A 27,063-nucleotide genomic window follows, 5' to 3' on the forward strand; every position below is an offset into this window, starting at 1 on the left:
GGGGGAAAATTCCAGTGAGAGGAGAGGTAAAATGTAGATTCAGTGTGACCTAAGAATGTGTGCTGAGATAGGGTAGATTTGAGAGTACATGAAGAGTATAAAACTTTTGGAAAGGAAGTAATAACTTAAAGAGTAGTTTTTGACATGTACTATGTGATTTAATTTCATTTTGTGTCTTCTGCAAGAAATAATCAGTAAAAGATTGCATTATTTTTAAGATGTCTTGGAAATGGATGTCTAGAACTTTTAGATGAGATGGTGGGCTGAGATGGGTCTTAATGCAGGAGAATGTCAGCATTTTGTTGTGCTTACACAGCTTTCCATAACTCATTTATAAACCTGACTCCTTTCTGGTCTGCCTCTTACAACTTTGTATGCCTTCCACCTTCCCAATTTATCTCTTTGACTCTCAGGTGCCTTCCCCTCTTACCTCAAGTATCCAGGGAAAAGATTAAATGAAAATCACACCACCAACTTTCAGCCATTCTTACCTCCTAAATATTTCTGTTTCTGAAATATGTGGTTTCAACACATGCAACCTGTTTTCTTTTACTCTTGTGTTTATATTAACTCTATAAGTCCTAAAGACCAATTTTAATTATTAGTATTTTGTAGCATTTGATACCATCTACTTTCTCATGTTCTTGAAATTCATCCAGCATTTGGCACTGATACGGGAGGCGGGCAGGGAAGTGCTGGGTAGAGAAGGGTGGGGTACCTGGTGAGGGCTCCACCCTCAGGCCTGTGTCCATGGATTTAAATGAGGACAGGAATTTCTGTTTTCGTGCCCCAAAAGTTGTCTTTTGGCCCACCACCCCCCACCCCCCAACCTTGTGCTCATAAAAACCTGGGGCACAGACCCAAGTGGCTGGATATCAGTAGAAGCAGAAGAAGACACTGACAGACACCAGCAGACAGTGGCAGGCCAGAGATGGTGGAGTGACGTGGATGCCAAGGAAACTTTGGCCAGGGGCAGTTGGAGGGGAGTCTGGCTGCTGGGCAGCCCAACTCCAGGGAAGACCACCTTCCCTTTCCATCCCCTTTCTGGCTCCCCATCCATCTTGCTAAGAGCTACCTCCACCATTCCATAAAACTTTGCGCTCATCCTCCAAACCCACGTCTGATCCGATGCTTCTGGTACACTAGGGCAAGAACCCAGGATACAGAAAGCCCTCTGTCCTTGTGATAAGGCAGAGGGTCTATCTGAGCTGATTAACACAAGCCACCTGCAGATGGCAAAACTGAAAGAGCACACTGTAACACACACCCACTAGGGCTTCAGGAGCTATAAACACTCAACCCTAGATGCTGCCATGGGGTGGGAGTCCAGAAATGCTCCCCAGGACCTGCCCGTCTGCATGCTTCCTTTATGGGTTTGAGCAGTGGGGCACTGAAGAAGCAAACCACACCCATGTTGCATGCCCTGAGAAGGGGATAATGGGAACTCTCCCATTTCAGCATTTTGTGGTAAGATAATGGAGAATTTCTTCTTTTGTTTTTGCTTATCTAACAGATGTCAGGTTTCATATCAAGCCTTTACATGCACAACAATCCTGCAGATACCTCATTTCAGTGATGTTATAGAGAGAAAATGTTGGCATACAAGTGAGGTAAATTTGTCCAAGATTGCATGGTGCCTTTTGAAGTTTAATGTAGGCATTCTGTCTCTAGAGTATGCTCACTTAGGTACTCCACTGAATATTTTATAACCAATGAGATTGATTATATTGCCACTAGTTTTCTTTGTACGACAAAGATCATATTCCTTTCATAAGTAAAATTAGGACATGATACACAACTTATCTGAAATGTACTTTACTATCCTTACCTCCAGCCTACCTTAACCACTCTGCAGCCAAAACTAAACTTAGACATTGTTTTCGTTATTTTGTACTACCTGTTCCTCAAAGATGTCCACAAAGACCTCAGGGTCTTTGTTCTTACCCTTCTCTTTCTTGAATGCACTTCCCACATATACTATCTTCACATGAGTTGATCTCACTTTCTTTAGGCATCTTCTCAAAGGCCAGTTTGAAAGGCTTTCCTTGACCTCTCTGCCTAAATAGCAATCCTACCTATGATATGCTCTATCCTGTTACCTGTTTGATTTTATTTCGTGTCATTTTGTGGCACTTTTCACTACCTAACACATTCCCTATTTATTTCTTTGTTCCTTGTTTTTCACCAACAGAATATAACTTATTTAAAATTGGAACTCTATTTTGTTCATAGTTTTATCTCCATGCCAAGAACAATGCTTGCCTGAAGGAAATAAATCAATAAGTGTTTTGGCATGAACCCAAGAATTAAACTAGCTTTATTGCATTAAATATGTTTCTCCCGCCTTTTAATAAAAATTTTAAATTGTGGGCCACATGTGCAGGATGCACAGGTTTGTTACACAGGTAAACGTGTGCCACGGTGGTTTGCTGCACCTGTTAACCCATCACCTGGGTATTATGTCCAGAATGCATTAGCTGTTTTTCCTGATGCTCTCCCCCACCCCTCCTCCCCTGCCAACAGGCCCCAGTGTGTGTTGTTCCCCTCCCTGTATCCATGTGTTCTCATTGTTCGCCTTCTACTTGTAAGTGGGAATGACTAGTTTTTAAAACCAGATCAAGATCAAATGAATCTTTTCTAAGACACCATTTCTTCCACTAGGAAGACTTAATTGCTCCATCTTTACAGTTAATATTACACTTCGTAGTTAAGTGTATTTCAGCATATTGCTTAAAAAGTGTTTTTATTTTGCATTGTGTTTATGTTTTTTTCCATCCTTGACTAGAATATAAAATATTAAAGTCATGAATTTTGAGTAGCTAAAAAAATACTTGAATGGTTGAAACAATTATTCAATGAAGTACAAATTAAAAACAAGTACTAGATAAAAAGAAAGAGAAAAATAGTTTTTTTCTCATTGAAAATATTCAAGGTACTTTCCCTCTGGGTAGTCAGTTACATTTATAACACATATTCTTACACTGTTACATCTTTAAATACAGAAATACAAAGAGGCTCTGGGGTTTGAGCTTGGCCCTAACTTGACAAGTGTCAGGTCAATTCATTTTAGAATATAGGGAGATCACGGTACAGAATACACCTTCCTTAAAATATCTCTATTGAAAATAGAAAAGAATAAGACTATCCTTCCAGATCTGATTGGAATATTTTAGAACTTTAACAATTTAATCTGGAGTTTGAAATTAGATTTTTTTCCTAAATCGTTAAATTGTTCAGGAAAGCACCTTCTGAAAGATTTTAAATAACATAATTGCCTGACAATTACTTTGAACACACTGAACAATCTTCTTTCACTAAGAAGAAACTGAGCTCTTAAAAAAAAACAAACAAAAAAAACAGTCACTTAGCTGTAGCACACTGGAATAACAGTCCAAAAACTTAATAGCTGGAGTTTCTTTCTGTCTCGCCAAATGAAAGTAATTTAATGACTCACTTTGCCACAGTTTTTCTCTGGCTAAAATCATAGAAAATTCTTTTTCATTTGTGTATATTTGTGTGTGTGTTTCTATAGGTCACAAAAAAAGGAATCCTAAAAAAGCAATGGAGTCATACATAAATGACAAGTCTTCTTTACTTATTTTTCTTTCTTTCTTTCTTTGTTTTTTTTTTTTTTCCCAAGATGGAGTCTCGCTGTGTTGCCCAGGCTGCCAGGCTGGAGTTCAATGGCGCGATCTAGGCTCACTGCAAGCTCCACCTCCCAGATTCACACCATTCTCCTGCCTCAGCCTCCCGAGTAGCTGGGACTACAGGCGCCTGCCACCATGCCCGGCTAATTTTTTTATATTTTTAGTAGAGACGGGGTTTCACCGTGTTAGCCAGGATGGTCTCGATCTCCTGACCTCATGATCCACCCGCCTCAGCCTCCCAAAGTGCTGGGATTACAGGCATGAGCTACCGCGCCTGGCCTTACTTCTTTCTATTCTATAACTCTTAAATTATTTCTAAACTCACATAGATGTCTCCCTAAACCCCTGCCCCTAACATTTCCGTTGGATAGTTTTAGAGCTCTATCTATGGTCCCTGGGTCCCTGCTGGCACCTTAATATTACTCAGATTTTCACTTATTTTTCTAAAATGGCAAGTCCAGCTCAGCCCATGGGCTGTCATTGCTATGACAATTAGTGTTTTTCATTGTCTTCTCTTTGTAGCAATTGGTATTTATTCTCTGACTTGGGTGTAGAAATCAGTATCAGTGCTTTATACATCTGTCACAGTGTTTGGAGCAATTGCCTTCATAAACACTGTATTTTGCACTAAACACTAAATTTTAATTTTTAGAGACAACCACCTTTTAATCTTTATCTGTCATATGGAAATTGAATTTGACTTCTACTATCATTGAAAATTGTACTTTTGTGGCTCAAGTTCTTTCCCGCTGTCAGACTAAAAAGAAACATTGTCAGAATTAGTTCTTGCTGGTCTTTCATTTTGTAAGCTTCCAGTAAGTAAATGGGGTCATACTTAAAACTAGGTCACTTATTTTCAACTTTAGAATTTTGTTATCTAATTTATATGATGATTCAAATTTAAAATAATCTATAGAATTACAAAAACATAATAAATTAGTTGTATTCTTTGCAGCTGTTGTCATTTAATTGAATGAACTTTTCACTTAAAAAAAGTATTTTTCTGATGTCATGATATTAGAAGTATAAACAACAATAATAATTGATAACATTTGTCCATAATCTTATGCTTTACATGCATTATCTTAATTTTTTAACAACTACTATAACATAGGCTCTATTGTCCATATTTTATAGAAAATACATCTTTAGATTTATGGAGATTATATAATTTGCTCATGCTCATACATTTAGTAAGTGTTAGATTATAACTGAGAATTCATTCTATATTAGGCTTTGTTATATTTACTAATAAATTGTAACTTCAAATGATATGCTAAATTATAATTTCAGGTGTATTTGAAACAATTACACTATAATAAATGATTATAAACAGATACAGAAGAATTTGACAGGCCTATCTCAAAGAGAGAATTGAGATTATTTAATCATTTAATCTACCAAAATCATAAAATTTCATTGAAGACTTAAAAAATTGAGACTATATTGAAAGTGTGAACCTTTCTTATAAACTTACATTAAAAATTATACATATTATGTATATTTTCTAAGACAATATTATTTTTTAATTATAAAGAGTTTTATGAAATGACTCTTCTAATTTCAGTCATTGATAATATTTAAATACAGGTAGTTGACAGAGTAACCTGTGTCCATCTTCATATTAAATAATCTTAATTATTTTAACTCAACAGCTCTTGAATATCCTGTTTAAGGATCAATGCCAGTACTATAAGTTTAATTTTACCATGTACAGGAAAACAATATATATGGGAACCAACTTGAATATATTCTGAGAAATGAATAAATGATTTGGGTAAAATATTTTATTAGTATTTAAATGTATATTCAATACTAAAGAGCATAAGACTATAATACATAAATAATTAAACTTGGAGGTTCTTTTAGGATATTTCAGCATACAAAAATATAAAAGAGGCATACTTACTGTATAACAGGTAAGAGGAGTTTATTTTACAGGTTCGTCAGTAAGGAAAAGGAACATGTCTCAGCAGGTTTTGGGGAGAACTTCAATATGAGTCACGGTTCAGGATAGTTCTAGAGACTTGATTCCCTTTGGACGACCCATTTTCTTCTAAAAAGTAGGCTTCCGTTGTTCCATACAAGACCTCTGCCACTGTGGACAGTCAGCTAAGCTTCTGTCTGTTTTGGCTTTTACTGTTAGTGCTCTACAGGCTAAATGTCCCTACTCTCTTTTGTTGTGTCCATGGCTTTGGCTGACTCATGGCTTCTCCTCATTCAGGACCTGCTCAACGGTGCTACCGTTGGCATTTGGGGCCAAATAACTCTTTTTTGTAGGGGGCTGTCCTGTGCATTGCAGGATGTTTAGCAAGATCCTTACTTCTGGCACTTGATGGCAGAAATGTCCCCAAGTTGTCACAACCAAACATGTCTCCAGACATTGCTCAATGTTCCCTGGGTCGGGGAGGGTGGGTAGGCAAAATTTTAAGTGATTTAAATCATTGACTTACACTTAAATTTCTCCCTATGAATTAGATCCCCACCTCACAGTTACTCACCTGAGATGTACTGTCCCCATCTCACAGTTAAACTCACCTTTACAGAGAGCTTCCCAGAAGGTAGCAGTATGCCCAGCCAATATCTTACATGGCCTTTCCATTAGAGTTAAGTAATATCTTCGCCTTTAAGCCCTTAAGGGTTGCTAAATAAACCAAATTAGAAACACAATTTCCTTTTTATTTTGTTATTGTTTATAAGAATTTATTCTGTAATCTCTATACCATTTCTGTAAGTATATACCTACAGACATTATATTTGCTTATTTATATTCCAGAATGCCTGGGTTCAAGTTCAGATTGGTACTTACTAGTTTTGTGACTTTAAGCAGTTTACTTAACCCAACTAGGCTTTAGTTTTCTTAAGTGGGGATAAAATAACACCACACTTGTAGGATTTTTAGAATGGTTAATTAACGTTTATTAAAAATATGTTTAATGTCTGTTAAATACATAATCAAAATAATGATATCTATTACCCCCAAAACTTTTCTCATATATCAATATATTGACTGTGGTGATGGTTTCATGGGTTTACACGTCTCAAATTTACCACATTGTACATTTTAAATATGTGCAGTTTGTTGTATGTCGATTATACCTCACTAGGAGTAAAAAAATTGTATCTATTATGTCAATAATATATATATATATTTGTAATGATATTTACCTAATGATAAAAATAGTTATTTCTGGATTGTGGTAGTTTGTGTCATTTGTTTGTGGCTTAACTAAGTTTTGTTGTGTTTAATTTAAAAACTGTTATTCTTTACTGCATTGTTTAAAATTTTTATAATGAATAGATAAAATAAACATGAACCATTTATCTTAATTTCTTAGGGGGAAGTATTTTGAATATAATAATGTATTTAATATTAATTTCTAATTCTTTATACTTTGTCACTCTTCCTTATGCAGGCTTCTCATTTAATATTTCTCATCCAAATCTCTAAGTGCTTTTCTTCTAATGTTTTACATTTGACAGATTCACATCTCAGAAAGGCGACTTACTTCTTACTTTTCCATTTCTTAGTATGGCTATGAAAACTCATTCCATAATTTTCTCATGTTTTGTATTTCTTTCCTGTATTTGGAAATAATTTGCATAGTAAATGAACACTTCCTTATATTTAACTTAATAGCAAGCTACAATTTAAGTTAATTCTTGCTTCCTGTCTACAGAAAACAACGGCTGCTAACCAATTTTGGCTTAGCAGTTTTTCACATACAGGAAGTGTTAAATTCTCTTTGCTCCTCTGCATCAGATTAATTTTGTTTCTTTTATAGCATAGTGGCTTTTATTTTTGTTTCCACAAACTATAAGTAATCATGATGTTCTTCGCTTAACTGCCTCTGAGTAGGCCAAATTTTGTTAATTTCTGCAGTGTAACGGCAAGAACCTCCCTCTCTTTCTTCCGCTGATACACACAAAGTCCTCCTTTCATGCCTGAAGCTATGGGAAATTTAAAGATTTAAAAAATCAGATTATTGACTATAGCACAAAACTTCTCACCCATAATGATATGGCTAGCATTGCCTTATACACATCATTATTTTAATCAGTGCCTATGTTAAACACTCCCTTTTTAAAATTAATTTTTGTTATAAAAATATATTCAGTTTTGAATACATAAATTGCAAACATTTAGAAACTACATGTAATTATTATTTTATTTTATTTTATGTTTCTCCCTTCTATTGGCAATAACAGTGGTTGTGCCAATGACTGCTTTTATATGGACACGGGATGGAGGAAGCAAAGGTGCTACTGATTACAATAGTCTTCTCTTTGTTTATGAAGTAAGCAAGCACAGCACCGCTTTAAATTTCCATTTTCTTTTGACTTGGGAATAGCTTGGAACCAGTATGTCTCTATCTCATTTGACACATTTATATTTTTATTCAAAAACCTACTATTTGATTGGCTATTCTTTTCAACACTATCCCCAGACCATTGTGGTATCATTTTGGTTCTCTATTAATTCTGTTTCATTTCATTACCTCAACTTCTTCCTCAACATTTGGTTCTTTCTCTGTCATTTTCCAGCTGTGTTCCTCCTATCACCTTTTAAATGTGATGGTCAAATTCTCACCCTGGTTTTCAAAACATGCCAAGATCTAATATGTGGCGACTGCCTCTGACATGGATTATGTGTTCCACTCAGATGACTTGTCATGGAAAAGTGGACATGCCACATCATTCATCATATCAGATATATATTTTGTGGTTTTTTTTTTTTTTTCATTTCATGTTTGGATGCCTACCTTGTCCTTGAACACTTTGTGAAACCTATTTTTTCTTTGAGGCTCATTTCATGTCCTATTCCCTCTGAGGACACATTTGTTCACTTCCTAGTCTGATTATCTTTAAAATTAAAGTCTTAGAATTTCCAGGCGTAAGGAATTTCAGAGATCATGTAGTCCAATACCTTAGATAATCTAAGGAAATTCGGAATTTTGGAGATCATGTAGTTTAATACCTTAGAAAATTTAAGGAAATTTATCAGTGTCAAAGAACTAGGTACTGCAGAGCTGACTAACAGCTTCAAATTTTATATAATAGGAAGTGCTCTTTTATTTTTCCCCCAATAACATGTTGTTTTGTTTTGCCATTAAATCACATCTTATTTTCTTGTATTACTTTATTGTTTCATTGCATGAGTCTTGTTTCCCAATTTGGTAGAGGGTTCTTAAAATTTAGGTTCATACTTTGCATATCCTCCAAGTGCCTAGACCATCCAAGCCACAGACTGTTGTATGTGTGTGCGCTCTCCCTCTGCTCTCTTTCTATCTCCCTCTCTCTCTCTCTACACACACACACACACACACACACACACACACACACACACACACACACACTTACCAGTCATAGATTTACCAGATGTCTGTTTTTAAGAGCTTTAATCATCAAGTCTTTGTATGTCCAATATAGACTCCGTTAAGGCATCTTGTGATCCTGTACGTGTATTTAGTTTTGTCCAATATTAGATTATAAAAATGCACTGGATGAATCTCTGACTCCCTTCTACGTCTGCCACCCTAAATTATTATTAATCAGGTTCATCAGCTTCTTTTCTTTTTCTTTCCTTTGTGGTAGGAAAAAGCTGATACCTGTATGTGACAAGTACTCTCACAACTCCTCCACTGAAACAAATTTCCTTAAGAGGCAAAAAAAGGCCGGAGCTCAGTGTAAACGAAGCTTTGTACATGTGTTTTAGGAATTGCCTCTTTTTTCCTCTGGTCATTGCATGTGTCTTGTTTGTTTAGGCTTATTCATTTTGTGAAATTATGAAAAAGTAATTACTATTTTCATTAGAAGACGTATATCTTTGTAGATTCATGTAGCATTTTGCCTCTATTCTAATAGTTTCACCACAAGTAAAGAACTAAATCTGTAAGACAAAAACGTGTGTGTGTGTGTGTGTGTGTGTGTGTGTGTGTGTGGTGGGGGGAGGTTGGGAAGCAGCTGCTATTAGGATAGTTGTATGTGGAAACCACAAAACTGAGTCATAAAATACACTGCATGAAGAGAGAACAGGTTTGAACATAAGGAAGTCTTACAGTGAATTACCCTTTCACAAGGAAGCAGTCCCTCTGGAACATCAAGTTAGTAATCTAAACTATATTTTACTATTAAAACTACTCATGCTTGCAATAAGTTGTCCTAGTCCTTAATTAAATCATAAAATCACTGAAAAAACTAACTGACATCTTTATAAAATGGGGATTTAATTATAACTTTAATCTTGGCAATGCTGCTTGAAGCGAAACTTAAAACTATGACCATAAATGTGTATACTCAATAAAACGTAACCTTTCCACTTATTAGCAACATTTCCTTCACTTAAAAGTTTTCCTTTTCTTAGGCTGTTGGCACATTTGACCGCTCTCCACTTTATGAGTCCTTGGAGAAATACATAGTTCTTCAAATATGGAGACAAATTTGGAGACAACATTCAGAAGCGTCTCAAATGACTTATAACTTAAAACTTAGGCTTAATCATAATTTCCATTTGGGGAAATCAAAGAAATGTTAAGTAGCAGCATGATGCATTCCTTTTCACCTATAATTCAATTTATTTATATTTTTTAAAATGAGACCTTAATGTTTATTACCTTTAGCAGAAATAAAAAGAAATCTTGCTTGTCTACTGCAATATCTTTTCACACTTAAGAAAACTCTCTGCTGGAAATAGACTGCCTTAGAGAAAGTATGTCTGTCTTGTGCATTGACATGGCACATAGCAAAAGGCATCACCTGCCCTCACGAATGCTCATTACCTGGATATCATCTTTTACAGCAAGCCCTAGAAACAGTGCCTTCATAATGCAGCCTATCTTCGGCTTTTGTTCAAATTGGTGAAAGTAGGCTAACTTCTCTAGCAATACTCCTGAAACCATATCAGCTCTTGCTGAATATATTTTTCCCCACATAAACCAGTCAAGTGATCAACTGGACAGGCGACCTTCTTAACAGTCATTCGGGCTCCCAGGTGAATGCAGGTTCTCTCATCTTCAGCAGATTTCGATACCCTGTAAGCCACCATCTTGGTAGACTTGAAGTGAAGCATACATTGAGGAGAATGTGTAGTAGGTTTTCATAGTCCAATCTTGGTAGTAGCACATATCATTTCTGCTTCCTTTCTTTTGGCTAGAATTTAGTACATGGCCACACATAAGTAAAAGGGAGGCAAGAAAACATGATTTGGCTTGACCTTGTATCCAGAAAGAAGAGAGGCTCATGCATTTGGGTGATCAAGTGGTCATTTATGCAACACCTGTTCAGGCTCATTCAGTCTTTACTGGTGCAAGAAAGGAATATCTTACTTTTGGATAGCTCATTTCAAGAAACCTTGTGTCTTCTAAAAGGAAATCCAGCTGGGCCATTTCCAGTTTTCAATTCCAGAAAGATGATCAGATTTCTCCTAATGAAATCGGGACCACTGATATCAAGCACAGTATCTCCAAGTAGATACAACTTAGAGATTTTATAACATTGGTAACCTTATTTTCTGTGTCTGGAAAAAGTCAACCATGTTTGTTTCTGTGTAAGCCTGTATTCTATCCAATCCATTACTGACAATTTTAGTGCTAGGTTGAAAAATTCAAGGTCTATAGAACTGGCTTGAGCTTTTGGGTTTCAAAATTTATCAGGTTTCCTAATAGAATATTTTTATTTACTTTTATTTTGGAAGAGTTAAAGTGAAAAACTACCAACTGTGTGACTCAGATGCAAAGGAATGACATTGGTGAAATTGGAGGCTTTGGATGATGTCACACAAATTCACACAAATTCAGTTTCCCATTATTCAAAATGAACATTGCTTTTCTAGTAATGAGTTATGCCAAATTCATTTTCTTCCTATTTCTTTTTTGTCCATTGATTTACTCATTTTGGAAATAAAAGACTGCTAAAGTTAAAAAAAATAAAAGTTGCTTCTAGCAGGAGAAACCATCTAATCTAATATAATAATGTAATATAATATAATCTTGTGATGACTCCAATCAGTAAGAATTCTGAATTCTGCCTCTTCGCTATTGTTAGCAAAGGTAGCTTCTCCTGTTGGATTTTTGATGCCTCCTCTTGATGTAATGCCTAATAATGATTCCCCAGCAGCTGGTATTCTCAATCTGGATCATTTTAGAAGGACTTTGAATCTTTGCTGAGCTTTCTTCTGGTAGCTACAACTGTGCAAACTCTTTTTTAAGGAAGTTTCTTCAGTAGGTGACCAACTGTCCTAGTTTGCTTGGGGCTCAAGGGTCTTCCAGGATACAGGAATTTCAGTGATAAACCAGGAAAATCCCAGGCAAACCAAGATGAGTTGGTTATAATCTTATGGTTCTTTGGAGCAGCCAGGTAACAACAGCAGCACAAGATCCCATACTTCCTTGCTTTCCTCTCAACATCATTTTTACTTTCTGTGAAGTAGCAATTGGCAGTGCCAATTTACCTTTGGCTTAGTAGAAAGCATTTCTCCAATTGTGGTTACATGCAACCTGAAGCAAAGAGTGCTTTTTTAAATTCAAATCCTTGAGTTCTACCTCAGATCAACCCTCAAATCTCACAGATGGAACCTGCAAAACCACATTTCTAATAAGTATTTTATAGGGATATCTGTATGCATTAAAGTTTGGGCTGTATTTCTTTATGAAGTCTATTTATAAAGTAGCAAGAGAGAACTTCTGTTTTTAGCTATCTGGATCAAGTTTAGGTAATGACAGAGTTGACAAAAGCCTCATACTTATTTTTTGATGTATTGAACTTATTTAAGTAATACAGGCACTTATGTAAATAAGGCCTCAAGTTGTGGTTACATGCATACTTTGGGGTATACATACCTGGGGTTTACCAAAATCCTGCCCCATGCAGGAGTGCTTGGTGTATAAATGGGATTCTAAACATTGTTTCAGAATCTTCCCTCCAACTCTTGCCCCAGGGCAATTATTAGATGTTTAATCTCCAATCAGGCCCTCCTTTCTCTTGTATATTCCATAGCTGCCATTTCAAAATTATCATTATTGCAGTCATATCTATATCACTATCAAATTCTTTAAGGGAAAGCTGCACTCCTCCCAACCCCCCTCAACTCCTACTTCTTTCTTTGTCCCATCTTCCCCTTCACAGGAGTCATCACCATGAGAGGACCCTCCTACCCTGGAATGTGAGCACAGTGGGAAGGTCCTTCTCACCCTGTGTCAGCACAGTATTTACAGCTCTTCTGAGACACACCGCTGGCCGCCTCCACTCCCTTCTCTGCCTGTGGGCTGGGTAGTGAGTTTTTCTGTGGGGGAGAAAGGAGACAATGATTAGCATTCCCTCCCATCTTTACTTCTAGGCTTAAACTTCTTTCTTTAATTGCCAAGTATTAGCTAGAGCATCCCATTTCTGCATGGCTGACTCCCTCCAATTTATTTTCATCATTTTAAGAAAAATCCAGGGAGAGCGAACAACCTGTTGTGGTCATGCTGGATCATTCCACTAGATGGCACGCTTAGGTTAGCTTTGCTTCCAGTTTCCATAAATGCAGGATTTTTACAGTGAAGCAAAAGCTGAGTCATAATTTATGTTTCATTATTTACTTGGCTGGTTAGTGAAGGGGTGGGTTGCCCCTCCACACCTGTGGGCGTTTCTCATCAGGTGGAACGAGAGACTTGGAAAAGAAAGAGACACAGAGACAAAGTATAGAGAAAGAAAAATGGGCCCAGGGGACCGGCGTTCGCATACGGAGGTCCCGCGCCGGCACTGGCCTCTGAGTTCCCTTAGTATTTATTGATCATTATCGGGTGTTTCTCGGAGAGGGGATGTGGCAGGACAATAGGGTAATAGTGGAGAGAAGGTCAGCAGGAAAACATGTGAACAAATGTCTCTGCATCATAAACAAGATAAAAAGTGCTGTGCTTTTGATGTGCATATACATAAACATCTCAATGCCTTAAACAGCAGTATTGCTGCCAGCATTTCCCACCTCCACCCCTAAGGCAGTTTTCCCCTATCTCAGTAGATGGAATATACAATCGGGCTTTACAGGGAGACATTCCATTGCCCAGGGAGGAGCAGGAGACAGATGCCTTCCTCTTATCTCAACTGCAAAGAGGCCTTCCTTCCTCTTTTACTAATCCTCCTCAGCAGGGACCCTTTATGGGGGTCGGGCTGGAGGATGGTCAGGTCTTTCCCTTCCCACGAGGCCATATTTCAGACTATCACATGGGAGAAACCTTGGACAGTACCTGGCTTTCCTAGGCAGAGGTCCCTGCGGCCTTCTCCAGTGTATTGTGCTCTGGGTACTTGAGATTAGGGAGTGGTGATACTCTTAACAAGTATGCTGCCTTCAAGCATTTGTTTAACAAACCACATCCTGCACAGCCCTTAATCCATTTAACCCTGAGTTGACACAGCACATGTTTCAGGGAGCACAGGGTTGGGGGTAGGGTTACAGATTAACAGCATCTCAAGGCAGAAGAATTTTTCTTAGTACAGAACAAAATGGAGTCTCTTACGTCTACTTCTTTCTACACAGACACAGTAACAGTCTGATCTCTCTTTCTTTCCCACACAGTTAGAAGTACTACAGAGTTTTACACTGTTTCAGAAATTAAGATATGTACTTTACTGTTGAATCTGACTTAATTATATTGTAATACATTGGGGGTTACCTTATAATGTAGGCAAACAGTAGTAAGCAGGTGAATGCCTTTATTGGGTCCTCCTACTATTTGTTGTGGTAAATTAAACAGCCCAGAAGGAGCAAAGTACCTCTTTCCCAGAGACAGAGCTTGGGTCTTACTATAGCTCTCACTGAGACAACTCTATTTTCACCAGTAGCCTCTCTTCTCTTCCAACTCTTAAACAGCACAGCCCGCTGTGCTACCCATTTTCATTGGTCATCTTCCTTGACTCTCTCTACTATACAAACTAAGTTTTAATAATAATTTTGGTTATGTTTCATATTCGCTATTACATCTTATGACTTTAATTAAAAGACATATTTTCAGAAGAAGTGATTAGGGGTTTGGAATAAGATAGTTTTATATTTTTAAAAAATATTGTATTTTATTTTTGTATTACGTCAGATTCAGGGATGCATGTTCAGATTTGTTAAACGGATATATTACATAATGCTGGGGTCTGGTCTTCTATTGACCTCACCACACAAATACGAAACATCATACCCAACTGGTAGTTTTTTCAAACCTTGCCCTCCTGTCTTCCTCCCCGCTTTTGGAGTCCCCAGTGCTGATGTTTCCGTCTTTATATCCACGTGTACCCGTTGTTTAGTTCCCACTTACAAGTGAGGACACGCGGTATTTGATATTCTGTTTCTGCAAAAATTAACTTAGGATAATGGCCTCCCCTGCATCCATGTTGCTGCAAGTAACATGATTTTGTTCTTTTTTATAGTTATGCTGTATTCCAGAGTGTGTATGTACCACATTTTCTTTATTCAGTCCACTTTTGATGGACACTTATGTTGATTCCATGACTTTGCTATTGCAAAGAGTGCTGCAATATCATGAGAGTGCAAGTGTCTTTTTGGTGAAATGATTCATTTTTCCTCCAGGTAGATACCTAGTAGTAGAATTGCTGGGTCAAATAGTAGCTTTTTTGTTTGTTTGTTTGTTTGTTTTAGTTATTTGAGAAATACTATACTACTTGCTGTAAACGCTGAACTAGTTTACATTTCTACCAAATGTTCTTTTTTGCTCCATCCTCAGCAACATCTGTTTTTTTTTTTTTTTGACTTTTTAATAGTAGCCATTGTGAATGGTGTGAGATGGTATCGCTTTGTGGTTTTAATTTGCATTTCTCTGATGATTAGTGATGATGAGCATCTTTTCATCTATTTGTTGACTGCTTGTATGTCTTATTTTGAGAAATGCCTATTCATGTTTTTTGCTCACTTTTTAATGGGGTTATCTTTTTTCTTTCTGCTTTAAGTTACATATAGATTCTGGATATTAGTCCTTTGTCAGATACATAGACTGCAAATGTTTTCTCCCATTCTGTAGGCTGTTTGTTTACTCTGTTGATCATTTCTTTTGCTGTGCCGAAGCACTTTGGTCCCATTTGTCAATGTTTTTGTGTTTGTTGTAATGGCTTTTGAGGTCTTAGTCATAAATTATTTGCCTTGGCCAATGTCAAAAAGAGTTTTTCCTAGGTTTCCTTCTGGGATTTTTATTGTTTGAGGTTTTACATTTAAGTCTTTAATACATTTTGAGTTTGTTTATAATTTCTATATATGGTGAGAGGAAGGGGTCCAGTTTCATTTTCCAGCAAATTGCTAGCCAGTTTTCACATCATCATTTACTGAATAGTATGCCTTTTCCCCATTGCTCATTTTTGTCAGCTTTATTGAAAATCAGTTGGTTGTAGATGTGTGGCTATTTCTGGGTTCTCTATTCTGTGCCATTGATGTATGTGTCTATTTTTGTAACAGTACCCTGCTGTTTGGGTTACTGTAGCCTTGTATATCGCTATAGGTAATATATAGTCAGCAGATATACCTAATAGTATAGTCAGGTAATGTGATACCACTGCCACTGGTTTTGTTGTTTTTGTTTGTTAGTTAGTTTGTTTTTAAAGCTATTTGGGTTCCTTTTCAGTTCCATGTGAATTTTAGAATTTTTTTTCTAATTCTGTGAATAGTGACATTTTTAATTTGATAGAAATTGCATTGAATCTGTAGATTACTTTGGGCAATATCATCATTTTAATATTTATTCCTCCGATCTATAGCATGGGCTGTTTTTCCGTTTGTTTGTTTCATTTATAATTTCTTTCATCAGTGTTTTGTAGTTGTCCTTGTAGAGATCTTGCACCTCCTTGGTTAAATATACTCTTAGATATTTTATTTGTATGTGTGTGGCTACTGTAAATGGGATTGAGTTCTTGATTCGATTCTCAGTTTGAAGGTTACTTGTGTATAGAAAGCTGTTGATTTTTGTACATTGATTTGTGTCTTGAAACATTGCAGTTGGTTTTCAGCTGTAGGAGGCTTTTAGAGGACTCTTTAGGGTTTTCTAGTTATCTTAGGATTTCTAGGATGATGTCATCAGCCAACAGAGATAATTTGACTTTCTCTTTTCCTATTTGGATGGCTTTTGTTTCTTTCTTTTGCCTAGTTGCTCTGCATAAGACCTCCAATAGTATGTTCAGTAGGCGCAGCTGAGTGGATGTCCTTATCTTCTTCCAGTTCTTAGGGAGAATGCTGTTGTTAATTTGAGATCTTCCTATCGATTTGATATAGGCATTTAGTGCTATAAACTTTCCTTTTAACACTGTTTTTGCTCCATCCCAGAGGTTGTGGTATGTTGTGTCTTTTTATTTGTTTCATTTTTTTAAAAAAAGTCTGCCTTAATTTTGCTGTTTACCCCTATAGTCAAATTATGAGAATAATGATGAAACATTTCATATCTAGAAAGAGGGGAAAAATAATGAGATTATTTAACCTAAAGCAGTGCTATCTATGGCATTATTTAGGTAATGGTACATCCTGAAAGGCAGGAGCCCTGTCTTGGGTTTCACTCATTTCTTCCTCTGGATAGTGCTGTAAACATTCTCTAGTACAGTCTACTTGTATATCTTGAGCAAATTATTAAAACTCTATAAGCCTCATTTTTCTCAACTGTAAAATTGTGATGATAATATTCAGTCTTACAAAGTGCTGGCGAGGTTTCAATTATACAATGTTTGTAAAGCATATTAAGCATTCAGTAGGGTATCAGAACAGAGTGTCTTGAATAGTACAGTAGGGTCTCTAGGTGGAAGGCATTCGTATTTTCCAATTAACCCTCTTTATGTAGTTTTTAGTAAATGCACATATGCTGGGTCACTTTGCTTTTATACTTTAAGAGTCTTAGCAAGAAAACTCTAATTTTCTGCACATAATTTAATTGAGAAAGAACTCTCTTATTTGTATATTTGTAGGGAAGAGATATCAGAGCTGGAATGGTTGCAGGACTGGAACATTAAGTGAGATTTTAATACCTCAGAATGATAAGGAGTGATTAAAAAAAGAGGATTCAGAAAACACAGTTGAATTAATGGGTATTAGTGACCTTCAGCCTGTGGAAAAATAAATTGAGAAAATAATTTGATATATTAATAAAGTATGGGCTTCCTCTTCAATCCACCTAATTTTTTTCATGTAATAATTTGTAATAAGCTCATTTAAACTTTGACAATGGAAATCAAACATATACAATAAAAATGTATAAATTATATCGATCATGATAAATTTTCAAGTTGTTAAGTAAATGTCTTGACTCAGTTTCATGCTGATGATATGTTTGAATACCAATCCTCAGTCTTAAAGGTATTGAAATGAAACATTTTTCTTTCAGTTTTTTAAATTGAAAATGTTTCCACTTTATTTCAGTCTTTTTGAATGTACAGGCATACTCTAAAGTGGCTTCATGGGTTTATGTAATTAATAAGAAGTCATATCATGAGAGAATAAAAATAAATCAGTTTTCTTAATCACACTCTACAGTATACTATTTTTATTTTCATTTTAAAGCATTAAGAACTATCAAATGTATTTGGAAAAATCAGCTTACTGAATTTTTTTTCTTTTTTCTTTTTGTCAGAGTGAAACATTGGTTGGGTTGAAATGTAGATTTATGTTATCACATTAAAAAAAAACCCTGCTTGGAGTGTCCTAAATAACAAATTAAATTAGTACTATGAAGTGTGGGCACCTGAATAGACAAATAGTGCAATAATGTTAACTTATTTCCCTTTCTTTATTTCTGACCACTTCTCTGTTTTACAATGGCATTCTGAATTTCTATCACCCTTAAAATAGGTAAGTTGATACTGGTCGTAACTTTAATAAGAATGCTTTGTACTCAATAATTCATATCAGAAAAAAATAACTGTCTAAAATACCAGACCCAGCCTCACTTCCCTGAACATGTTCTCTAAGTTGATGATGGCCTACTAATTACAATTTATGGAAATGAAAAAGTTTTACTCAATTTACTAATATGCTAAGTAAGATTTTAGAAAATCATTTACTGGAGTCAAGATAAAAGAGGTCTGACACTTGGTATATCCAGAATTCTAATATTTACAAAATGTTTGGAGGCCAGACCAACAAAATTGGAGAAAGCACAGAACAAAACTCTAAACTTTAATTGTTTGAAATGGGGTTTGGCAAAAATATAAGAAATGTTAGAATTGTTTGACTGGTTTGGCCTAAGGGAACACTTCCCAATTTTTTTTTATATTTCAAATTTGAGGCAAATAAAAGATATTTATATATATTTTTTTCTTGAGACAGTCTTGCTCTGTTGCCCAGGCCGGAGCGCAGTGGCAACGATCTCGGTTCACTGCAACCTCGCCTCCTAAGTTCCAGCGATTCTCCTGCCTCAGCCTCTCGAGTAGCTGGGACTACAGGCTCATGCCACCACGCCCAGCTAACTTTTGTATTATACCACCATGTTGGTCAGGCTGGTCTTGAGCTCCTGTCCCTGTGATTCGCCCACCTTGGCCTCCCAAAGTGCTGGCATTACAGGCATGAGCCAGTGTGCCCTGCCCAAAGAGAATATTTTTAAAAGCCAGAAAAAAAGCCTTAGTAGTTTATTAATCCAAGAAATGGTTGTAATTTTTACTGAATGCAAAATTAGTATCAGTATTTCTTTTGTCCTGCAAACTTTGTGCAAACTGGCACATTCTCTATGGCCCTGACCTTAAAGGCTGGACTACTTACAGGAATGATTGAGTGTAAAATCTAGATTTATTTATTTACATAAATCTAGATTTATGTAAAATCTAAAGATAATTTAGATTTTACATAAAAACTAATCTATGCATAATAATGAGCACTACATTTCAATGTAAGCCTCAATTTAAAGATTTTCAAGAACTGTAAACAATAAAATACATTTGATATCTTTCTTCATATTCTTCACTTTACCAGTGTCTGCTGATATACCTCTAGTTTTCATTTCAAGCCTTATTTAAAATGCTAAATTCAACCAAGTTTGTTACTATATTTTGAATCTAAATATTTTTATAGATTTATACCGAGGTCTGGATTGATCTTTTTAGACTGTTAGACTTTAGGATATTTGTAGCATTTATTTTATTACTATTATTTTATTTTATTATTTTATTATTATTATATTTTATTATTATTATTATTATTATTATTATTATTATTATTATTTTGAGATGGTGTCTCACTCTGTTGCCCAGGCTGGAGTGCAGTGGTGTGATCTTGGCTCACTGCAACCTCCACCTCCCAAGTAGCTGGGACTACAGGTGTGCACTACCATGCCAGGCTAATTTTTGTATTTTTAGTAGAGATAAGGTTTCACCATGTTACCCAGGCTGGTCTAGAACTCCCTGCCAGCCCAGGTCTCCCAAAATGCTGAAATTACAAGTATGAGCCACCATACCTAGCTTATAGTATTTATTCTGTTATTGATTTACCCTAGCCATCTGCTTGGAATTAGAGAAATACAAAAGAAAGAAAGAAGGGTAAACAGAGAGAGCGAGAAAAAAAAAAGAAAGAAAAAAACAGAAAGAGGGAGAGAACAGGAAGATCACATTGACCTGTGCTGTTTTTATTTTCTCTATTCTCACTTCTTGGTACAGGAGAGTAGAAATATAGCCTTGATGATGACTGGACACATCAATTAACACTCTTCTTACTTCTCTGACACAGTAGCGAGCTCCGCAACATTAGGAGTGTTTATGTGAGATGATTGGCAAATGTGTTTTGTAGATTAATTAGAAATGCAATTAAGCCATAAATAAGTAGATGCTGCTGATTTGTGTAAATCTTCTAGTGAGATCTTTTTCTTTAGTCTACATTGACTAGTCAGTGAAGAAGCTTCATACCTAGGGAATATGTCCTCCAGCTGTTTTCTGAGCAATGGCCGCTTTCACAGTCATCTATATCCTTCAGATGAGGGTAGAAATACATTTTAAAAAACAGATAAATTATATAAATTATTATGGAAGGAGGATTTATTATGAGTCATATGGCAAATGCTTTTGTACAAAAAGGTTGATTTGTAGGAGCATTATGCCCTCCTACAGTCCTAGAAACATTGTAAAAGAAATAGCTATCTAGGACAATTGTAGATACTCCTGAGTTCCTGAGTAGCGACAAGTTAAATTGTTGGCCATCTTCTAAATATCTGTCTCTTCAGCTCAGGCTTTCAGAAGAAAAGTTTCCACATTAAAGAGAGCATGAGCTAGCAGAAATTTTCATTCCTCTCAGATCCAATTCCTTGTCATAACAAATATCCTAAATGAATATTCATAAGTAATATAGCTCATCTACAAATATAATTTATAAATCCAGATAATGTCCCATCTGGACATTATCTAGTGTATTTGTTCCCAAGTATTTACATGTTGAAATGTAGAACTTTTTTATCATCTAGTACATTTCTTTTTGTCAATATGCCTCTCTGAAGTTCTGTGTTATGAACTTGAATTCTGGTTTACAGGAACAGAAAGGCAAGGAAGAAACAATGGCTTCAACATTTAGCATATTTTTCTGCATCTAATCTAGATGGTGAAAAGCCATTGTCAAGTATTTTCTCAAATTACACAACTTAAAAAGAAAATGTGATGTCAAGTATTTTCTCAACTGACCCAACTTGAAAATGTGAAAAGTTCATCAATTTTACTTCCTTATTTTTGATATTGATGTGTATGCTATATACAGGGTGGCTGGTCATGAATAAGCTAGATATCAGTTAAGTTAGTGAATAAAATGTCTCAGATTTAGTAAATAATGTTTAAATTTTTGGTACAACCATTTTTACAAAATTTAGCATAAATATTGTTATCATATGGAAGGTTGAATTTTACTTCCTAACTAGATACTTTCCTGAATACACACACACACACACACACACACACACACACACACATGTTTAAACATTAGGTTGGTGCAAAGGTAATGGCAGTTACTGCCATTACTTTTAATACATAACACAGAAAACGAATTTGTAGCAATGTTTTCTTATAGAACTATGTCTTTAATATATTTCTAATTGTACCACTAGATGGAGATATTTATTAGAAAGTTGTCTGCCTCTTAACCCAAAGAACTGCTTGGGTGGGGGGGAAATATTTTTTCCATTATATATTCTTTTGGAAATATGAAAAATAATTAAAATATAAATAAAATATCTAATAAAGTTTTCTGAGTTGATCAACTCATCTAAGAGTGAGAAGACATATGAATATTTAAGCACTATCAAATTTCAGAAATTTTTTTCTATTGCTCTTGAATAAAAAATCTGAAACAATCCTCAGAAATACAATCTGAAAAGTTTTGGTTCCCTGGAACACATGTCTCTTACCAGTGCACAGATAATAGTGTCATGGGTGTCCAGAGTGTATACATTCTATTCTTGAAAAAATACATTCTAAAAAATTACAAAGCCAAATGACAGACTTTAGGAAGATAGATAAGAATGTTTTGTGGAACTTTTGTTAAAAGCATAAGCAGATAATCAGCACAGTTACGAGCAACCTGGCACCATGCTCTTAATGAATGAATGTCTCTGCTAGAGGCACACACTTTGATCTTTTTTCTCAGTCATTTGCATATAATTGCTGCATTTATCATGTGGCCAATAGATATTAAAAACATAATAGAAGGAGATAATGAATGAAATTGGACTGAAATTGCACTTTGTGGTCAAAAGGCCAGTGCTGAGCAAACCTACTTTAATCTAGAAAATGCCTACTGGTCAGAGTTAACTTCATTTGCTCAGTGAAGGACTGATTCTAAACCCATAATGAGTTTACACCCAGTTGAAAAAGAAGATCCTTGCCAAGTTGTATTAGTTCGTTTTCACACTGCTGATAAAGGCATACACAAGACTGGGCAATTTACAAAAGAAAGAGGTTTAATTGGACATACAGTTCCACATGGCTGGGGAAGCCTCACAATCATGGTGGAAGGCAAGGAGGAGCAAGTCCCGTCTTACATGGATGGCAGCAGGCAAAGAGAGAGTGAGGAAGAGGCAAAAGCGGAAACCCCTGGAAAAACCATCAGATCTCGTGACACTCACTCATTACCATGAGAACATTATGGGGTAAACCTCCCCCATGATTCAATTATCTCCTACCAGATCCCTCCCATATCATGTGGGAATTATGGGAGTACATTTCAAGATGAGACTTGAGTGGAGACACAGAGCCAAACCATATCATTCCATCCCTGGCCCCTGCCAAATCTCATGTCCTCACATTTCAAAACCAATCATGCCTTCCCCACAGTCCCCCAAAGTCTTAACTAATTTCAGCATTAACTCAAAAGTCTGCAGTCCAAAGTCTCATCTGAGACAAGGCAAGTCCCTTTCACCTATGAGCCTGTAAAATCAAAAGCAAGCTAGTTATTTCCTAGACACAATGGGGGTACAGGCATTGGGTAAATACAACCGTTCCAGATGGGAGACATTGGCCAAAACAAAGGGGCTACAAGGTCCATGCAAGTCCGAAATCCAGTGGGGCAGTCAAATCTTAAAGCTCCAAAATGACCTCCTTTGACTTCATGTCTCACATCCAGGTCACACTGATGCAAGAGGTGGGTTCCCATGGTCTTGGGCGCCTCTGCCCCTGTGTCTTTGCAGGCTAGAGCCTCTCTCCTGGCTGCTTTCACAGGCTGACATTAAGTGTCTGTGGCTTTTCTAGGTGCATGGTGCAAGCTGTCAGTGGATCTACCATTCTGGGGTCTGGTGAATGGTGGCCCTCTTCTCACAGCTCCACCAGGCAGTGCCCCAGTAGGGACTCTGTGTGGGGGCTTCAACCCCACATTTCCCTTCCACACTGCCCTAGCAGAGGTTCTCCATGAGAGCCCCACTCTTGCAGCAAACTTCTGCCTGGGCATCCAGGCATTTCCATACATCTTCTAAAATCTAGACGGGGGTTCAGAAACCTCAATTATTGACTTCTGGGTACCCACAGGCTCAACACCACGTGAATGCTGCCAAGACTTGGGGCTTGTACCACCTGAAGCCAAGAACCAAGCTCTACATTGGCCCCTTATGGCCATGGCTGGAGCCTCTGGGGCACATGGCATCAAGTCCCTAGGCTCCACATAGCTCAGGGACCCTGGGCCCAGCCTTCAAAACCACTTTTTTTTCCCTAGGCCTCTGGACCTGTGATGGGAGGGGATGCCGTGAAGACTGCTGACATGCCCTGGAGACAGTTTCACAATTGTCGTAGGGATTCACTTTTGGCTGCTTGTTACTTATGCAAATTTCTGCAGCCAGCTTGAATTTCTCCTCAGAAAATGGGATTTTCTTTTCTAACGCATTGTCAGGCTGCAAATTTTTCAAACTTTTATGCTCTGTTTTCCTTTTAAAACTGAATGCTTTTAACAGCACCCAAGTCACCTCGTGAATGCTTTGTTGCTTAGAAATTTATTCCACCAGATACCCTAAATCATCTCTCTCAAGGTCAAAGTTCCACAAATTTCTAGTGCAGGGGCAAAATGCCACCCATCTCTTTGCTAAAACATAGCAAGAGTCATCTTTGCTCCAGTTACCAAAAAGTTCCTCATCTCCCTCTGAGACCATCTCAGCCTCGACCTTATTGCCCATATCACTACCAGCATTTTGGGCAAAGCCATTCAACAAGTCTCTAGGAAGTTCCAAACTTTCCCACATTTTTCTGTCTTCTTCTGAGCCCTCCAAGCTGTTCCAACCTCTGCCTCTTACCCAGTTCCAAAGTTTCTTACACATTTTTGGGTATATTTTCAGCAACACCCCACTCTACTGGTAACAATTTACTGTATTAGTCTGTTTTCACAGTGTTGATAAAGACATACCCAAGACTGGGTGATTTACAAAAGAAAGAGGTTTAATTGGACTTACAGTTCCATGTGGCTGGGAAGCCTTACAATCATGGCAGAAGGCAAGGAGGAGCAAGTCCCGTCATACATGGATGGCAGCAGGCAAAGAGAGAATGAGAAAGATGCAAAAGCAGAAACCCCTGATAAAACCATCAGATCTCGTGAGACTTATTCATTACCATGAGAACAGTATGGGGGAAACCACCTCCATGATTCAATTATCTCCCATCAGGTCTCTCCCACAACATGTGGGAATTATGGGAGTACAATTCAAGATGAGATTTGTGAGAGGACACAGAACCAAACCATATCACCAGCTAACCATTTATTCATCTATTCCTGTAATCACATAAAGCATACTCTTTGAGGGACTACTATGTGAAAGGCAGTCATGTAAGCTGATAAATCCTATTCATTACAAATTCAACACTGGAAGTATGAATAGAGTCTGATGGAAAACAGAGGAGGAATAGACAAAGAATGCTGCGATTGGTAGTATAATGCCACATTGAGAGGGTGATAGTCGAGCAGGCTCTAGAAGCATACTTAGGGGTGTTAGAGATAAAGGATGTGTTAAAGACAATAGAAAATAAACTTTCACTGTATTAAATTGGGTGTGGATATAAAGGTAAGCAAAATTTAATAAAGTAAGATTTGAAAATAAAATGTATGACTTGGTCACCATGGTCTCTACTGAGATCCCAGGATGGGCAAATCTAATGGTGGGAGACTCAATAGTGAGAGTTCTATAATGGGAACTTTACTTATTATCTCTTGTTAACTTGGAATATGGTTTTTATAAGTGCCAGAACCTATAACCTATAAACCTGAGATGCTTTCTCACAAGGCCAAAACTGCCAAAATGTTTTATTCTTACAATCTCCTGTGATATTTTCAATGAGATGGAAAAAAATGAGAAATAAATAGATTTTATGAAAATACTGGGGACACTTGATGTCCAGATACGCCCACATGAGAAGAGTCCACATAGAAAGAATCTCCACCTGGAAAGAATGGAAAGGATTGGATGAGTGAATATACTCAGTAAGAAAGCTGAAACAAGGAAATTTTTTTGGCTCTGGAAACACAGAGCAGAGAGCAACTGGATCAAGAACAGTTCTGCTAGTCTCTTATCATATAGAACTTTGTGATAATTTACTTTTAAAAGGTGAATTTAACTCACCCAGTTAGAAATACTTATGATTTTGTCTACTGGTGGTAGGAAACGTATTTGCAGGAGAGGCTGTCATGGCAGTGCTGAGCTGAGCCCGTAGCCTCAAGTATACTAAAAAAACACCATTTTTCCCTCTCTTTAGGTTAGGGAGGCTCTTGAAACAGAGAGACTGAGTTTCTTAATTCTTGTATGATGAAGGAAAGTCTACATAAGAGGTGACTGGGGAGAGGGAAGCAGAGAGGTGCATTAGGATGGGAAATGAGAGTCAAACAAAAGCTTACAAACCTCAATTTTGTCTGTCTTAACGCTCTGCTTAGAGCCCAATACTGAAGTGTAAGAAAATATTTGGTCTGTCTGTCTCCAAAAGTAATGCTCTTTTCATTACTAAACTCGATGGAAGAAGGAAGTAATTACAACTAAAGGAGGAGAAGGAGAATAAAATATATGTTTTACATTGGCAGAAAAACTGGTTATGTTAGCACTTTAGATTGGAACAAAAATGATTCAGAATGAAACTCTCTTTTTTTTCCATCCATAGATATTTACCCTATAAATGTTTTTTAAGTTATCCTAAGTTCTAGGTCCTAAACTTTATTAATCTATTATCCAAAATTCATTGAGGTACTGTAATAGACTTCTTAAGGAATCTATGCTGTCCATACATCCCTTGCCTTGAAGTATTCATAATATTTAGTCATCTATTTGCTTTCCTAAGAGGACAAAACATTAACTCTTCCATTATTCCTTTGCCTTGTGTTAATCCTTCAAACACAAGTATTCTCAAGTGGAAGTCTCATTCATTTCTGCCATCTTAATAGCCATCTGTGTAGCTACACTTTTAACGACAATACTTACAAGAAAGGAAATGCTATTGGATTGAATATCTTAGAAAAGCATATAAAAATTTATATTTTCAACTGCTTTACTTCTAACCGTCATTTTTTTAATAGAGAAGAAAAAATATCACTTGAAATAATGGTTGTTCATTTACATCGATCACACTTTCCATCCTCTTCCCAAACTCTCTTGATAATACAATGTAAATATGGGAAATGACATGAGATTTAGTTCCTGTACTGTGAGATAAGACCCTTAATAGAAGAACCAAACTGTCATTCTTGCAAGAACCTGAAGAGTCTAGAACCTCCAATGTGTAAAGTTAAGAATAATAATAAGAAAGAAAAAAAAGGATGAGGTGGAGCTACTCAGTGGGATTTATAGGTCACACATTAAAACTAAAAATCTTGATCTGCTGGTTTGGGATCTTACAAATGTTTATCTCTCTAGACAGAAAGTTAACAAATGACCTTCTATAGTGCTGATATAATTATTTTTCTAAGATAATGAACTTGCTGTTTGACACCACTGCCAATTTTAAAAATAATCTGCTTGTCTGAAATATCAGAATAATGATT

The 27,063-nt window shown here is 36.6% G+C and overlaps 2 long non-coding RNA genes across 3 annotated transcripts in view, besides 1 other annotated feature; one reads left to right on the forward strand and one right to left on the reverse strand.

Moving 5' to 3' along the window:
• The window catches only part of LINC02820 (long intergenic non-protein coding RNA 2820), a 172,109-nt gene that overhangs the window by 137,684 nt on the left and 7,362 nt on the right, over positions 1 to 27,063 (forward strand). The gene's annotated exons all lie outside the window — the stretch shown is intronic.
• LOC107984537 (uncharacterized) lies at positions 9,030 to 13,933 on the reverse strand. Its single transcript, XR_001749238.2, has 3 exons — positions 13,874 to 13,933; positions 12,836 to 12,927; positions 9,030 to 12,142 (listed from the first exon to the last, which is right to left on the reverse strand). It is a non-coding gene; the product is annotated as an uncharacterized LOC107984537 (long non-coding RNA).
• Positions 13,045 to 13,094: an enhancer, noted in NCBI's record as "active region_6694". NCBI's record gives its function as "activates an Ori minimal core promoter by ATAC-STARR-seq in GM12878 lymphoblastoid cells {active_cell/tissue: GM12878}" and the evidence as "EXISTENCE:reporter gene assay evidence [ECO:0000049][PMID:35858748]".

This window comes from Homo sapiens, chromosome 12 (genome assembly GCF_000001405.40).
Source record: "Homo sapiens chromosome 12, GRCh38.p14 Primary Assembly".
NCBI lineage: Eukaryota > Metazoa > Chordata > Mammalia > Primates > Hominidae > Homo > Homo sapiens.